General features: G+C 34.1%; 1 protein-coding gene across 3 annotated transcripts in view; it reads right to left on the bottom strand.

Moving 5' to 3' along the window:
- Positions 1-17,953, bottom strand: part of RFX6 (regulatory factor X6) — a 54,920-nt gene that overhangs the window by 17,349 nt on the left and 19,618 nt on the right. For 2 of the 3 annotated variants that reach the window (NM_173560.4, XM_017010477.2), the window contains one exon: positions 3,771-3,878. The exons of the other annotated variant lie outside the window; for it this stretch is intronic. In NM_173560.4, coding sequence (NP_775831.2) covers positions 3,771-3,878 — 108 coding nt within the window. The remainder of the gene's footprint in view (positions 1-3,770; positions 3,879-17,953) is intronic. 3 annotated transcript variants of the gene reach the window in all.

Genomic DNA, 17,953 nt, shown 5'->3' with positions numbered 1-17,953 from the left:
TATTAAGAAACTGATGGATGTCAGCTATTTTGATTCCAATAGCATCTAGAGTGGTGGTGGTGATGGAGGTGTCCTATCCTAACCCTTTGCATTTCCCTTTATTCCCACAACCCAATACACATATCTTTGTGGTTTAGCTTAGAGCTGTAGAACCATGATATGAACATTATTGATCCATCTGAAGGAGCTGTGCTGACTATAGAATACCTCTAGCAGGATATGTTACCATCAATGCAAATGAGAATTGCTCTATATTTCAGGCAATGCTATTATATTTTCAGATTATTCCAAGTCATATGTTTAAAATGAGGATGAGTAACACACGAAAGATGGAAGGGAAGTCATAACTGTTGTCAAAAATTAACCCTTTCTGTATATATCCAGAAAAAGGAAATCAATATATCAAAGAGAGATATCTGCTCTCCCATGTTTATGGCAGCACTATTCACAATAGCCAACATATGGAATCAACCTAAGTGCTCATCAATGGATGAATGGATAAAGAAAATGTGGTATATACACAAGGGAATATTATTCATCCATAAAAAATAAAACCCTGTCATATGCAGCAACATGGATGGAACTGGAGGGCATTATGTTAAGTAGAATAAGCCAAGCAGAGAAAGACAAATATCACATGATCTCACTCATATGTGGGACCTAAACAAGTGGATCTCATGAAGGTAGCGAGTAGACTGGTGGTTACCAGAGGTCGGAAAGAGGAGGGGGAGAGGAAAATAATGAGAAGTTGATTAATGGGTACAAATACACAATTTGATAGAAGAAATAAGATCTGGTGTTGGATAGATCTGTAGGGTGATTATAGCTTACAATAATCTATTGCATATTCAAAGTAGCTAGAAGAGAACAATTCAAATGTCTTTAGCAAAAAGAGAAGATAAATATTTAAGGTGATCAGTAACCCAATTACACTGATTTATCCGTACAAATTATATAAGCATATTATCACATGTGCCCCCAAAATATGTACATCTATTCCATATCAATAAATTCTTTCAAAATTAATCCTTTGAGCCCTGAAACCTATTAAAGTACAAGTAAGCCTTTATCTTCACAAGTATTTCTACTTGTTACAAAATTTATTGCTTTATATACAAATCATCAAAATTTTTAAAACTCACAATTAGCATAATACTTAATTTGTTTATTTAATACTTACATAGTCTTAGCGCAATGAATTTTAATTCCAGTGTACTTTGCATTCTTTATAAACATAATCTTAGTCAATTTTCTGAGAATAGACATTGTACTAGAGTGGGCAGGAGCAGAGGCAAGGCTTAGCTCCACTAAAGACAGTGAGCACGTGGTGGGGGAGACAACTGCCTCGAGAGACACTATGAGTAGCAGGCCCCCAGCTTCTCAGTACCCTCACTGGGGTCAGCTTTTCACTGGGCAGTTTCCATTCTTTCGGCCTTAAAGAAGCAAGTGCTGGCTGGGCGCGGTGGCTTACGCCTGTAATCTCAATGCTTTGGGAGGCTGAGGCAGGTGGATTACTTGAGGTCAGGAGTTCGAGACAAGCCTGGCCAGCATAGGGAAATCCCGTCTCTACTAAAAACACAAAAGTTAGCCAGGCATGTCGGCAGGCACTTGTAATCCCAGCTACAGAAGCTGAGGCAAGAGAATCACTGAACCAGGGAGGCAAAGGTTGCCGTGAGCCGAGATGGCGCCACTGCACTCCAGCCTGGGCAACAGAGGGAGGGTCTGTCTCAAAAGAAAAAAGAAAAAGAAGCAGGTACCTTAAGTGCTTGATTTTAGCCCCACCGCACTTTCTAGGAACTGATAAGTTACCTGAGGAGCCTGGCTAATGGCAAGGAAGGTGACAGAGCTAAATTGTCCTCAAAAAAGAGTGTCAGTCCCTGGCTTTCATGATGGAGTCCACTGGGAATGAACTTAGAAACCAAGGGTTATAAAAGCACCTTGATACCTGAGAAATGATCTACAGACCAGTCTTTCAAATTGGCAGGTATGAACTTCCTTGGAGGCCAGCAGAGAAACATGAAATTCCCAGCAAACTATTGAGGTAAACTATTGGAGCCTGTTTCTCACCTCTCCTTTCTTCTTTGTTGCTTGCCTTTTTGGTCCCCCTCTCTCTCTCACCAGGTATATTTACACCATAAACATCTTCATGATAAGTTTGCATGGAAGCAATCCTCTCCACAAAAGTAACCCAATAATACCCTCCCTCAGAAGACTGAGATCCTCCTGATTTCCACAGGAATCCTCACAAACTGCCACATGTTAACATTTACTGGGGGATTCTCAAATATAAAGTCATCATATCACACATTACATCTATAAGGTAAAAATTATGTGATAACCTTGAGAAATGTAATGGGAGAGAACAGTCAGAAGTGAACATAGTTTGAGAGACTCCCTTGGATTTGGCATTTGAGAATTATCTTCATTTGCCTCTTCTTTTTTTTAAGGGTATATTTTACTTTTTTTTTTCCAACTTGTATTTTAGATTTAGAGGGTACATATGCATGTTTGTTACGTAAGTATACCAAGAGATGCTGAGGTTTGGAATACGAATGATCCAATTACCCAGATACTGAGCGTAGTACCCAATAGTTAGTTTTTCAACCCATTTCCCTCTTCCCCCTTCCCCAGCAGTAGTCTCCAGTGTCTACTGTTGCCATTTTATGACTAGAAATACCCAGTGTTTAGCTCTCACTTATAAGTGAGAACATGTAGTATTTAGTTTTCTTCTCCTGCATTAATTTGCTTATGTTAATGGCCTCCAGCTGCATCCATGTTGCTGCAAAAGACATGTTTTCATTCTTTCTAAAGAATACTTTGCCTATTCTTAACTAACAGAGTATGGCTGTCATCAAAATGAGCCCTGTAAGTTACTATGCATCTCTACTTATATGCCAATAAATTTTTTTTAAATCAATGTGCTATCTTTACCTCATTTCTACAAAAAGCCCATTACTAAAGTAAAGCATCTGGACATTAATCATATTCCTCTATCTTTGTACCTCAGAAATACGAACTAACTCAATATACTGTAAGAGATGTCTTCTTCAAATGCTAATGAAACATGTACTTTGGTTGAAACAAAAATGTAGAAATAATTATGCTCTAATTTAATAATGGTCTCTGCTACTAAACAGCCAACAGATCCCCGACAAATGACTTTAGAAGTACAGAAATCGAAGATATAGTTTACACGCTATTACATAAACATTGAAAAGTCATATTGAGAATTATTTATAAACTGAATCCCAATGAAAATGATTCTTTCTTAACTTTAAAAAATGCAAATATAAGAGAACACAGAATTTTAGAAGTAAGGAAAGTTCATGCTCATCTAGCATAGTTCTTGCATTCATCTAGCATGTCCCTCAGTGCTAGGGACAGATTCTGTCCTAGAGAAATGCTTGATGACCATTTGCTGAAATAAAATGGAGATAATTGAAAACATAAAACTTTTAACTGAAGAAAGTGTATGTGACAGCCACATTCTAGTATTTTCTTCTTCAATAGAGCTTTAAATAAAAAATAATGTTTAGTCTTTTAAGGTTTATTTTACCACCTTCTGATTACACACTATCATGGAGATGGTAAATAATTAATTGGAAGTGTTAATCAATGTTAACAAAAGTTTGCCTCTCCTATAAATCAGTCAATTATGTTTGATTATGCAGATTTCTGATTGCTTCCTGCAGTACCATGAAATTCCCAGCAAATTGACATATGGAGCCAACATATCAGAAAATCAATAGAGAAGTATCTGTAATTGATACCTTGTCCTTAGAAATGCATCCTTGGTATACAAGGTGTTGAGCGCTGGGGAATTCTGGAAGAAGTGTTCCAGTTTTTGAGCTAAGCGAATATTTACGAGTGAAGCCACCCTATAATTTAGAAAAATGAAAACAAATACATCATTATCAACTATATGCTTCCAAAGTACTATTCTAGTAAAATACAAATCCATAAAATTTCATTCTTCTTCATCCTGCAAACCATGAGAATTTACGAGATTTGAGTAGACTGTTTAGATTGTGTAACTGAATAAACGAGACATGTCAGCCAAATGGTTTTCAAACCTTCAATAGTTTCATAGTTAGAATATTTTTCCTATCACTTCAAATTTTAGTTTTGAATATTTGTCAGTTTTCACAACTTTTAGAAATTTAAGTACACATTTGCTAATGGCATAAGTTTAGGAAGATCTGCCTTTGAAACTACTGAAATTATTTTAACTATAAGAGGATCAGGAATTGTCAAATCCAACCTTCCTTTTTACAAATTAAGTAAATGAGATGATTGAACGTAAAATAATTTATTCAGTCTCAGAGGTAATTACTAGCAAAATTTTTATTGGAGTCTAACTTCTGATTCTCAAGCTAGTGCACTGGACTCTCCCACAGTAAGTTTCTTCTACCCTAAATTCAGGCATGTGTTGTTCTTTCACATCTCTTGGAGAAAGCATACTTGAGCTATTTTCAGAAAATTAGAAAAGTGACAAATAACTTATAATGCTACTGTGCTGGTATACTTACAGGAAACCCACACAGGAAGAACAAACACATATTCATGACAGAACTGGAGCCTCAGCAAATCAGTCTCCCAGGCCATAACTGATTGTTCCTCCTCCCCAAACAAAATTTTAACAAACCAGATTGTAATCAAAAGTTTGGGGAAATAATGAAATTATGAATATAATAAAGGACATAAAGTGTCCCTGGCAAGGACAAAATTTTGTTCTTTCTCATAATTTTCTCACATTTATTTCTAGACTGCACTTCTTTGTTTATCTCTGTCATATTGAAGATGTTTAGTAGACAAAAACTTAATTACTGTCATAGACAGGTTGGGTTCCCATCCTGTCTTTCTAGAACTTATAAGGGTAGAGCCAAGGGAACTGGGAGTACTTTTGAGTCCTTTAACACCAGATATTTTAGAAGCCCTGATTTCTTGTTGACTTATTTAAGATTTAAATAAGCTGGAGGCAGAGCTTGCAGTGAGCCAAGATCGTGCCACTGCACTCCAGCCTGGGTGACAGAGCAAGACTCCGTCTCAAAAAAAAAAAAAAAAAAAAAAAAAAAAAGATTTAAATGAGCTTTATATTTAAAATATAGTAGAAATTCATTTTTAAAAATTATGTTTAATTTTTACTTTATTAATCTCTTTTCAAGTATATTCTTAATTTTTTAATTAATAACTATTATTTAATAATTATCATAAACTGATATAATAGCATAGTTAATCCCAATCCACTCTATTTATTAATCTATCTTAATTTAAGAAATGCTTCAAAGACTTTCAATGCTTGGCTTTTCCATTTATGAGCACCAATTATCATTGCACTGTCAAGGAATGTTACTGTCAATAAATAGGGAAAAATAATATAGGAAACAAGAAAATAAATAACTTAATCCTTAAAGGAAGGAAGTTATATGACAAAACAGAAAACTAACATTTGTTGGATAAGCATAACAAAAATTTACCTAAATCTTAATTTTAGAAAGGTTTGCACTTTTCATATATTTTTTCTCTTGTGTGGAAAGTCATGTTTATTCATCTCAATATGTGATTTGGTGATATAGGAAAAGAGAAACAGAGAAATATAAACTCCCAAAATGATAATACACAGTATGATATTAAATCGCAGTTAGGAATAAAGGAATACTCTTATTTCCACTAAAGAAATATAATTAGTAATCAAAAATCCTTTTACAAAGAAAAAAACAGACTCAAAAGATTTTAACAGGTGACCTTTTATCAAGCATTCAGGAAACAGACAATTTTAAGCTTACTAGATTTTTTTCTGACAATAGAAAAAAGGATAACTTCCCAATTCACTTGAAAACGTATATGTCAAAACTAGACAAGAACAGAAAAAGAAAAATTATATTTCAATTTCACTTATTACTAAAGACAGTATTAAACAAAATATTAAACAAAATTCAGTAGTATATAAGTACAATCATACTCAGGTTTAAATTCATCATATTAACAACAAACAGAGGAGAATGCTGTATATTATATAATCATCTCAACTGATGCAGGAAAAAGTTTGTTTAAAATCCACTACCATTCATTAGCCTCTCTCTCTCTCAATCCCTCTGTGTGTGTGTGTGTGTGTGTGTGTGTCTGTGTGTGTGTGTGTGTGTATGCTAGAAATAGAGGAAAACTTAATCATTATACAAAGAATATCTATCAGAAGCCCACAGCAAATGTCTTACTTAGTGGTAAAATACCCTTGAAAATCACAAACAAGGTAAATTTGCCTGCTCTCACCTTTTTTACTCAACACTATACCAGAGTTTGTAGCCAGAATAATAATGAACTCGAAAAAGTAATGACAGATTAAGTACCGAAAAGGAAGAGACAATATTAGCATTATTTGCTACTGATGTAATTGATTTCATTGAAAAACTAAAACAAATTACACAAAAATTATGGTTAACAATAAAGTTTTTTTTAGCAAAGTTGCTGAATACAAGATCAATTTAAAAGTCAATTGCAACAACATGGATGAAACTGGAAAATATTATGGCAAGTGAAATAAGCCAGGCACAGAAAGACAAATATCACGTGTTCTCACTCGTATATGGGAGATAAAAAATTTGATCACATGAACTTAGAGAATAGAATAGTGGTTACAAGATGCTAGAAAGTGTAGTGGGTAATGGAGGATAATGAGGAGTTGATTAATGGTAATTACTTTAAATGTAAATGAATCAATCTCTCCAATTGGAAGACAGATATTGGCAGAATGAAGTTAGACAAAATAGACTCTAAATTTTAAAAGGTGTGTAACAGACAAGGATATTATACATTAACAAAATTTTGATTAGGCAAAAAAGATCTAATAATCATAACCCTTTATGTACATGTACCTAATAACAGGTATGTACAGATAACAGATAATAACAGATAATCAAAATATATGAAGAAAAATTGACAAAATTAAAGGGAGAAATGAACAGTTTTACAATAATTGTTGGAGACTTTAACACCTCATTCTCAATAACGGACAGAACAAACAGACAGAAGTTAAGTAAGAGTATAGAGGATGTGACAGCATAATAAACCAACTATATTGAACAAACATATACAGAATAATCTACCCAACAACAACAGAATACACATTATTTTCAAGAGCACATGGGACATCTTCCAGGATAGACCATATGTTAGGCCACAAACTAAGTCTCAGTGAATTCGAAAAGATAGATGTCATACAATGTACCTTCTTCAACCAACATGGGATGAACTTGGAAATAAATAATAGCAGAAAACTGGAAAATTTACAAATTTGTAGTAGTTAACCAACACACTCAAAGAAAAGCCCCAGAGTTGGCTTCAGCAGTGAATTCTACCAAACATTTAAAGAGGAACTAATATCAATACATCTCAAAGTTTTCCAAGGAATTGAAGAGGAAGGAGTACTTTGTAACTTATTCTATGAGGCCAATATTGCCCTGATACCAAAGCCTGACAAAGACATTGCAAGGCAAGAAAACTGCAGACCAATATCCCTTATGAACTTTGATGCAAAAACTCTCCACAAAATATTAGTAAGCCAAATTCCACAGCATATTAACAGGATTACACACCATAAATAAGTGAGATTTATTTCTGGAATGCAAGGATGGTTCAATATATAAAAATCAATAAATGTGTTACATCACATTAATGGAATAAAAAAATGATAATCTCATTAGGTACAGAAAAAGTATTTGAAAAAATTCCATATCCTTTCATGATAACAATACTCAACAAACCAGCCATATAGGAAAACCACCTCAACATAATAAAAGTTGTTTATGAAAAACCTATAGAAAACATCATATGTAATGGTGAAAGACTGAAAGCTTTTCCTCAAAGATCAGGAACAAAGCAAGTCTGCTTTCATCACTTCTACTCAACATGGTACTAGAAGTCTTAGCTAGAGTAGTTAGGCAAAAAAAAAAAAACAAAAAAACACAAGGCATCCAAATTGAAAAGGAAGAAGTAGAAAATCTCTGTTCACAGATGATATAATCTTATATGTAGAAACCCCTAAAAATTACACACACACACACACACACACAACTCATAAATGGATTCAACAAAGTAGCAGGATTCAAAGTCAGCATGCAAAAACTAGTTGCATTTATATTCACTAATAATGAACAGCCTGAAAAGAAAATTAAGAAAACAATTTCATCTACAATAGCATCAAAAAGAATAAAATACTTAAAAACTAATTTAACCAAGGAAGTGAAAGACTTGTACAATACAAACTACATAAAAGAGCTGAAAGAAATTAAAGAATACATAAATAAATAAAAAGACATTCTATGTTCATGGATTAGAAGAATTAATATTTAAGATAGCAATACTGCCTAGAGTGAGATATAGATTCAATGATTCAATGCAATCCTAGTGACAGTTTTTTCAGAAAAAGAAAAATCCATCCTAAAAATATCTATGGAATCTCAAGGGACCCTGGGTAGCCAAAAATCTTGAAAAAGAAGAACAAAGTCAGAGAAGACTTCCTGATTTCAAACGTACTATAAAGTTACAGTAATCAAAACAATATGGTACTGTCATGAAGACAGACACATAAACCAATGGAATAGAACAGAGAGGCCAGTAACAAATCCTCACATATATGGTAAAATAATTTTTGATAGGGGTGCCAAAACCATTCTATGGGGAAAGGACAATTCTATGGGGAAAGGACAGTTCTATCAACAAAGTGTGCTCAGAAAACTGGATGTCCACATTCAAAGGAATAAAGTCAGACCTTTACCTCATACATCATATACAAAAATTAACCAAAAATGAATCAAATATCTAAATGTAGGAGCTAAAACTATAAAAATTTTAGAAGGAAACAGGAAACATGTTTAGAAGGAAACATGTGATTTGGAAAAAAAATTTTATATAGGACACTAAAACACAGGTAACAACAAAAATTACACAAATTGTACTTCATAAAAAAAATAGTTCTTCATGAACTATTTATAATCCCAGCACTTTGGGAGGCTGAGGTGGGTGGATCATGAGGTCAAGAGATTGAGAACATCCTGGCCAACATGGTGAAACTCTGTCTCTACTAAAAATACAAAAATTAGCTGGGCATGGTGGCACACGCCTGCAGTCCCAGCTCCTTGGGAGGCTGAGGCAGGAGAATGCTTGAACACGGGAGGCAGAGGTTGCAGTGAGCCGAGACTGCACCACTGCACTCCAGCCTGGTGACAGAGTGAGACTCCATCTCAAAAAAAAAAAAAAAGAAACACTTTTGTTCATAAAAGTTATGCATATAACTGTACATGACACTATGATCACAGTAGAAAGGCAATGTATGGAATGAGAGAAAATATTTGCAAATCATGTTTCATAAGGGATTAATATACAGAATATATTGAGAACTCCTAAAACTTAACAACATAAAAGTAAACAAAATGATTCATAATGGGCAAAGGACTTGATATACACTTCTCTAGAGAAGATATATGAATGACTAGTACATACATTAAAATATGCTCAATGTTACAATCATTAGGGAAATGCAAATCAAACCCTAAATGAGATACCACATCACACCCACTGGGATGGCTACTATAAACACAAAAACACACACAAACACACGCCAGCAAAAATAACAAGTGTTGTCAAGGATGTGAAAAAATTGGAATCCTTGTGCATTGTTGGTGAGAATGTAAAATAGTACAGCTGCTATGTAAAACAGTTTGGTAGTTCCCCCAAAAATTAAAAATAGAATTATTATATGACCCAGTAATTCCGCTTCTGGGTATATACCCAAAACAATTATAGCAGGATCTCAAAGAGATATTTGTACATCCACATTCATAGCAGCATTAGTCACTGTAGCTTAAACGTGGAAGCAACCCACTTGTCCATCGACAGATGAATGGATTAGCAAAATGTGGTACTGTATATACATACAATGAAATATCATTCATCCTTAAAAGGGAATGATGTTCTGACATATGCTACAACATGGATGAACCTTGAGGACATTATGGTAAGTGAAATAAGTCAGTCACCAGAAGACAAATACTGTATGGCTCTACTTAAAGAGGATTCTAGAGTAGTAAACATCATAGAGACAGAAAGTAGAATGGTAGTGGCCAGGGACATGGTAGAGGGAAGATGGGAGTTATTGTTCAATGAGTAGAGAGTTTCAGTCTTGCAAGATGAAAGAGTTCTGAAGGTGGATGGTGGTGATGGTTACACAATGATACCAATGTACTTAATACCACAAAACTGTACACTCAAAAATGGCTGAGATAGTATATTTTATATGTAGTTTACCACAATAAAAATATGAACAAAAACCAATTACAAATGAAATAAATGTTCAGAGCAACTTTATGCTTTCAAAGTAATTTATAGAGAATATTGTTATAATCTTGGAATATACACAAATTTTTAAAAAACAAGATATAAAAAGTACTAACCATAAAATAAAAATCTTCATCAAAAGATACAATAGAATATTGAGTCATGCCACTAACAGGAAGAAGTTATTTACAACACATAACTTACAGGATATTAGTATCCAGAACATATAAAGAACTCTTAAGATTAAAATTTCAAAATAAAAAACGATATGATCTGAACAAACATTTCACAGAAAAGAATCGACCAATAAAAATCCAAAAATATATTCTAGCTCATCAGTTGTTAAAAACAATTTCCAAATAAAAAACACAGACATGATTTTACACCCACAAGACTGGCAAAAACTAAAATGTCATTTAATACCAAGCATAAGAATAAGGTACAAAAGTAATGATCACACACAGCTGGAGAGACAGAAGTTGATACAACCACTCTGGAAAATAATTTCACCTTTACTAGTAAAGTTAAAGATGAGTATATCTTGGGACCTGGAATTCAACTCCTATAGATGTCTACCTGGAGAATTGTTTGCGTCAATATTGTTTTTCAGGCAAAAAAAAAATTCCCATCCACAATGGAATGAATAAACGCATTGGGATAGTTTCCTACAATGGAATATTATACAGCAGTACAAATAAATTAGAACTTCATATATCAGCATTAAAGAATCACAAAACCTAGCATTGAAGGAAAACAGAAAGTCACAGGGAAAACAAGGAGCCTATTTTTATGTAGGATACAACTGGGCAAATAATAAACAATATGTTGTTGAGAGATCTATTTGTAAGTGGCAAACTTTACAGAAAAACAAACAGTAACACCATATTCTGGAGAGTGGTAACTTCTGATGAGTAGGGAGGAAAAAGTGATTGAAGTGGGTGCACAGAGGACTCCTCTCTTTTAAGTTATGAGAAAGGGCTTGAGTTTTCATATTATGATTATTTTAAAAATTCTATGCATGTGTTTGTGTGTTTGGGTGGGTGCTGTGAATAACACATTTCCCAATAAAAAATGTTAGCATGCTAAAGAAACACATATTAAGAAATAAAGTATGTAACTTTAATTCTAATACTTTTAAAAACTCTCATATTGGTAAATAATAATTTTGTGTAATCAAAGCTAGCAATATGTGCAACATCAAGAAGGGGCAAAAGGGCCCCAAAAAACCTTAAAATTAATTTTGTTTTGGATGTTAACAACTGGATACAAAGATCATATAAATTGCATAAATCGAATAATATCCAGTAAGTGTAACACAAAAAGAGAGGAGTGATCATCTTTAAAATAGTAAAATATGCTCATTCTAATTCCACTAATATATTTGCTATTACAATCGTACTAAAAGAGGTGCCAGATCATAGGCCAGCTACAGAGGTCTGGGTTTGTTTTGTTTTTTCCTTTCTCAATTGATAACTTCGGTACTCTTGGGTGAACTATTAAGAATCGTATTTCTAAAAGAAAACAAGAAGGACCCTACAGAAAAGAAACAAATATGACTAGAAGGCAAGAGGGTCTGATTTATGAGGAAAGATTAAAGGACTTAAGCTGCATGGCTTGGCTAAGTGATGACAAAGGAGAGTATGATAACAGTCTACAAATATTTGAAAAGCATATACCAAGGAGGGAGGATTTGATATTTATCTTGGTACAAAGTTGTTCAACTGGCTGTGAACGGTTGATGTTAAGGAGAAGAAAACTCAGGCTATCAAGGAAACTTCCTGGTAGAAATGTATGAAATCAATGGACCCATTCCCTAAGAAATAATGTCAACTTCACTAGCTGCTTGAAACAAAAATTTGGCCCACATTAGAAGACCCACAGGAAAAGAAAAGCTTTCTTTGATGGGGAGAAAATATTATAATTAAGTTTTGTTCATTTGTTTTATTCCTGTGAATTAACAGATTCTGAGACAATCTCTAAGACATTTCTGAAATTTAAACCACTCCATTTATGAATAAAAATTTTAAAACAGTAACAATTATTAATACTAAGTAGTAACGCTCTTACCATCTTTTTCCTGTTTTTTATTTTGTTTTTGTTGTTTTTTGTTGTTGTTGTTTGCTTTTATATTTTGAACTATTTAAAACTTTTTAAAAGATATAGAGAAAAAATAATAAATACCCACTTACCATCCTGATTAAGACATGAGACATTTCCAATACTAAAGCAGCCTTGCCTAATTTCATTCCCTTCTTCTCCCACAAGAAATAGTGTTCTGGGCTTGGTTTAGATCATTTCTACTCAAACATTAAAAAATTTACCTAGTATGTAAATGTTCTTAATATTATACTGTTCTTTAAAACTGGTATAATACACTATGTATCCTTGTATTTTCAATGTGCTTTTTTCACTCAACTTTAGGTTTTTGAGATGACCCTAATTTGATTATTATAACTATCATTCATTCGCTCATACCCAAAGCAGTATAGCACTCCATTGTATAAATGTATAAAAACTTATTTCCCATTATATCATAATGAACACTTTGATTATTTTCGAGTATTCTGCAATTATAAACCATGTCGCAGTGAACATCCTCATACACACCTCCTTGTGCACAATGTGAAGGTTTCTTTAGGAATGCAGTCATAAAGTGTGTAAATCTTCAACTTCACTAGATATTGTCCCTTCTACTCTATTTGAGAGTTCCTTTGGTCCATATTCCTGTCAACAGTGTGTCTTTAGACATTTTAGTTATTGCTAATGTAATATATGTGAGACAATCACACATTAGGGTTTTAATTTTCATTTCCCTGATTAATATTTAGATTGAGCACTTTTTTATTGGCAAGGGGTGGTATTCAACATACGTTATGGACACTGGTCAACCAGAATGCCAACTAGCACTGTTAGTCATTCTTTGTTTATCCTGAATTAATTGCCTCTTCATATACTTTGCTATAATTCTGTTGGGTTGTCTTTTCATTATTGACTTGAATTCTATACATATTCTAGAACAGTGCTGTCCAATAGAGCTTTCTGTTATTATGGAAATGTTCTGTATCTTTCCTGTCCAATACAGTAAGCACTTGAAATGTAGCTAACGTGACTGAGCATTTTTTACTTTACTTAATTAATAGTCACATGTGGCTAGCAGCTACAATATTTTACAACATAGTAATAGATATTAATTCTCTGTCATACAGTGCCTCTCAATTTACAATGGGGTTACATCCCAATAAAACCATTACAATTGGAAAATATTGTAAGTCAAAAATGCGTTTAATATACCCAACTTACTGAACATTATAACTTAGCCTAGCCTACCTTAAACGTGCTTGGAACATTTACCTTAGGTTACAGTAGGGCAAAATCATCTAACACAAAGCTTATTTTATAATGAAGTGTTAAATAACTCATAATTTATTAAATACTGTATTGAAAGTGAGAAGTGGAATGGTTGTATGGGTACTCGAAGTACAGTTTCTACTGAATGCGCATCCCTTTCACACCATCACAAAGTCGAAAAATTGTAAGTCAAACCATTTTAAGCCAGGGACCAACTGTATATAATTTGTAAATACCCAGTTATGCTTTACATATTTCACATATATTTGCTTCTGTGTCCTTTTTTTATAATTAACATTTCTCTATATCATTAAAAGAGCCTTTTAATAAATAATATTCAGCCACACAAAAGTACAATAAATTATGTAACCATTTCTTTGATATTAGTCATTTAGGTTACATATAGTTTCTCACTGTAATCAATAAAAATTTTGTGCATAATTTTCTGTCTGCATTTTCTATTTTATTTCACTATGAAATTTACCTATTTTATTTTTATTTCTATTTTTATTTCATAGTGAAATAAAAATTTTTTTTAAATAAAAATAGATTTCACTATGAAATAAAAATAGATTCAAGGCCGGGCACGGTGGCTCACACCTGTCATCCCAACACTTTGGAAGGCTGAGGTAGGCAGATCACCTGAGGTCAGGAGTTCAAGACCAACCTGGCCAACATGACAAAACCCCGACTCTACTAAAAACACAAAAATTAGCCAGGTGTGGCGGCGCACGCCTGTAATCCCAGCTACTCGGGAAGCTGAGGCAGAAGAATCACTTGAACACTGGAGACGCAGGTTGCAATGAGCCATATCACGCCACTGCACTCCGACCTGGGTGACAGAGCAAGACTCCATCTCAAAAAAAAAGAAAAGATTCATACAAAATCCATACAAAAGTAGAATTAGCAGGAAAGGATATAAATACTTTAAAGACTTGGTGCAGATCTTCCAAACATTTTCCAAAAATTCATTCTGCCTTCAGCAAGATATGAAAGAGTTTATCTCATCCTACCTTCACCAACTTCCCAATAATTTTTAAATATTTCATAGTTTCATATTGTAAAATGTTATCTTAATTTTTGTTTATTTGGTACTCCTTTCTTCATGCGTTTATTAGCTTTTTCTTTCTACTGTGAATCATCTATTCGCATCTTCTACTACTTATTGTGGTCTTCATATTTTTATAGGATTTTTTATGTACTATGGATATAATTTTATTGTCATGTTTGCTGAAGATATTTCCCCCAGTTTTTCCTTTGACTTCAAATTTTGCATATGATGCTTTTGATATGAAGAAGTTTCCAATGTGTGTGTTTTTCTTTTTCCTATGAAATGTCTTAAACTGCTTTTATGCTTAGAAAGTGAATAACTCCTTCCAGAAGTGGGGTAGACATATATTTCCTCCTAAGTATTATTTTTATATTTAATTGTTTATATGAAATTCACATAAGTTGTGAGGTATAGAAATTTTTTTGCAAAATGGTCAATGTTTCTAACACCTCCTGAATAATTTTATTTATATAGTACTCCACCTTTCTCCAAAAAGGACACAGAAAAATATTTTCTTCCTTCATTTGTTGTAATTTCTGTTTGGTCATACACTAAAACCTTATAAATACTAGGGTCTTTTGTCAGGTACCTAAACTCTGCTGCAGATTTGTTCTATCTACAGTTGACTCAGTATCATGTCATAATATTTTGATATGTGGCAGACAAATCCCCTTTTTACTCTTCTTGTTTACATTTCTCTTAACTATTACTTCCTGTATATTCTTCTAGATTAAGCTCGTAACATATTCATCTCCAAAAATTAATTACCCACTCAAATTTTCATTATAATATAAAATGTCTGAATTAATTTAGGAAGAATTGGAATATTTATAATATCTAGCATTCCTATCCAGGCACATGGTATGTCATTTCACTTGTAGTTTTCTTTTATGCCTGTATTTTTTTTTTCCAAATAGGCAGTATGCTTCTCTTATTATAACTGTTCCTGAATATTTTGCATTTCTTCTGGCTCATGCCATTTAAATTTTACAATCTTCTAACTTTCTTGTCTTCCACAAAGACTGTTGCTACCATCTCAATAAATCTGTGAGAAAATTAAGTCCTACAGAAAATGATTTGAACAACCATTTTTCAATTCTCTCAAGGATGGTGCTTAATCAATACCATTCTAAACACTCATGCACGACAGAGTTTATTCCTTATATTCAGTGGATGTCTTAGGGCATTAGGGCTATATTCTCTCTAGAAAACCTGGTTGAGAATAGCTAGGACTTTCTTTTAAGTTCCTCAAACTCCTACTTTCTTTCCATGATTTTTGCCACAGCACATGACCTACACTACCATTCCTGAGAGAAATGCAAAACTACCAAACAGAAGCTACCTCAACTTTCTGCCACAAAAATCTACAAATCTGCTTGCATCCGAACTTACCCTTTCTCTTTTCAGTTTTAGTGGAAGAACTGCTCCTCCTCTCTAGGGCCAATTCCTCTACACTGACCTCCTCAGTGACCTTGTGCTCTCAACTTTCCTTTCTTTAATATTTTCAGTCTTCATTCTTTACTGTTCCTGTTTTATTAGCATTAGACATTAGTCTAATCATCCTTCAAAACTAAATTCCAAAAAATTAGCTGGGTGTGGTGGTGTGTGCCTGTAGTCCCAGCTACTTGGGAAGCTGAGGTGGGAGGATCACTTGAGCCCAGGAGGTTGAGGCTGCAGTGAGTCAAGATTGTGCCACTGCACACCAGCCTGGGTGACAGAGTGAGACCCTGTCTCAAAAACAAAAACAAAAAATCCCAAATCCCAAGTCCTTTCCAATTATCACCCTGAACTTGACTAAATGTTCTACATTCAATGCTACTTCCCACTCATTTCACAAACCAAACCCCAGCTCACCACTGGAAAGGCTCTCCCTGAAATCATTAGTTATCTCCACTTAACTAATTCCATGGATCCTTTCCACTCCTTATCTTGATGACTTTTCAGCACCATCTGAGCATTCCCTTCTGTAGGGAGCATTTTTTCATCCTGAATCCTGTGACACTGTATTCTCCTCCTTCTCTTCCTACCACTCTAGACTCTCCTCTGTTATCTCACCGACTCTTCCTCTCTCACTTTTCACAACTTTTTTTTGGTAACCTCTTGTCTTCTCATTCATTTTTTCCCTAAGCATTTTTATCCATTACCATGGCTTCAATCACCATCAAACTAAATCTTGAAGTCCTCCTTTCCAATCACATATATCCAACTTCCCACTTAAAATTTGTGTTAAATGTTTCACAAACACATCAAATATGACAAGTCCCAAATTAAACCCCTTATCTTTTTACTCTTTCTTCCTGCTTCTCCTTCAATATTTCCCAACTAAAATCAGTTACTTCTCTCCATCCCTTGGGCTATTATTCTGGTCCAGATCTTCTCTTACACAGACTATCCAGATAGCCTCCAATGGATCTACTGGCTTCCTGCCTTACACTCTTCTAATGTATTCTCCATGTCATGGTCAGAATGAGTTTTATAAAACACCAAGTCTGATGCATAATTCCCCTTTAGTGGCTTCCCATTACAGAATTCTTAACCTAATGAGACTACAAACAATCCAGCCTCTACCTATTATATTACTCTCTACCTCATTCTACACTATAGCTAAGCAGAATTTTTTTTATTTTTTCTACAACATGATACACCTCTTGCTTGCCTTCACATATGCCAGTAGTTGACATTTGGCAATGTCAGAGACGTTTTTGGTTGTCACGACAAGGGGGTGGGGGTCTGCTACTGGAATGTAATGGGTAGAGGCCAGAGATGCTGTGATACTACTAAGCATCCTACAATATACTTGATATCTTCCATAAACATTATTATCTGAACCACAATTTCCATAGTATGGAGGCTGAGAAACCCTGGCCTATGCTATTCCATCTGTCTTAACCACTCTTCTTCCCTCTTCCCCTACTCCACTCCTCCTCCAAACTACCACTATATTCTGAGTTATTTCCTTAATATCACTTCCTGTGTAAAATGTCCTTAACTCCCTAAACCTAGTTACTCCCATGACACCCTCTAGAATTTCTTATAATTACTTGTTCAAGATATGCTTTCCTGCTATACTGTAAAGCTCTGGAAGGGCAGGACCAAATCTCTTCATTCACCATTTTGTCTCCTAGTACCTGTAATGTAATACATCTGTTAATTAATATCTTGACCATGGCTTTAAAAAAATAGAATCTTTCTCTGACCTCTTAAAAAAGCAAATACATCTCT

Source organism: Homo sapiens, chromosome 6 (assembly GCF_000001405.40).
Source record: "Homo sapiens chromosome 6, GRCh38.p14 Primary Assembly".
NCBI classification, from domain to species: domain Eukaryota; kingdom Metazoa; phylum Chordata; class Mammalia; order Primates; family Hominidae; genus Homo; species Homo sapiens.
The sequence above is the reverse complement of the archived record's forward strand: the minus strand, read 5'-3'. Positions and strand labels throughout refer to the sequence as shown.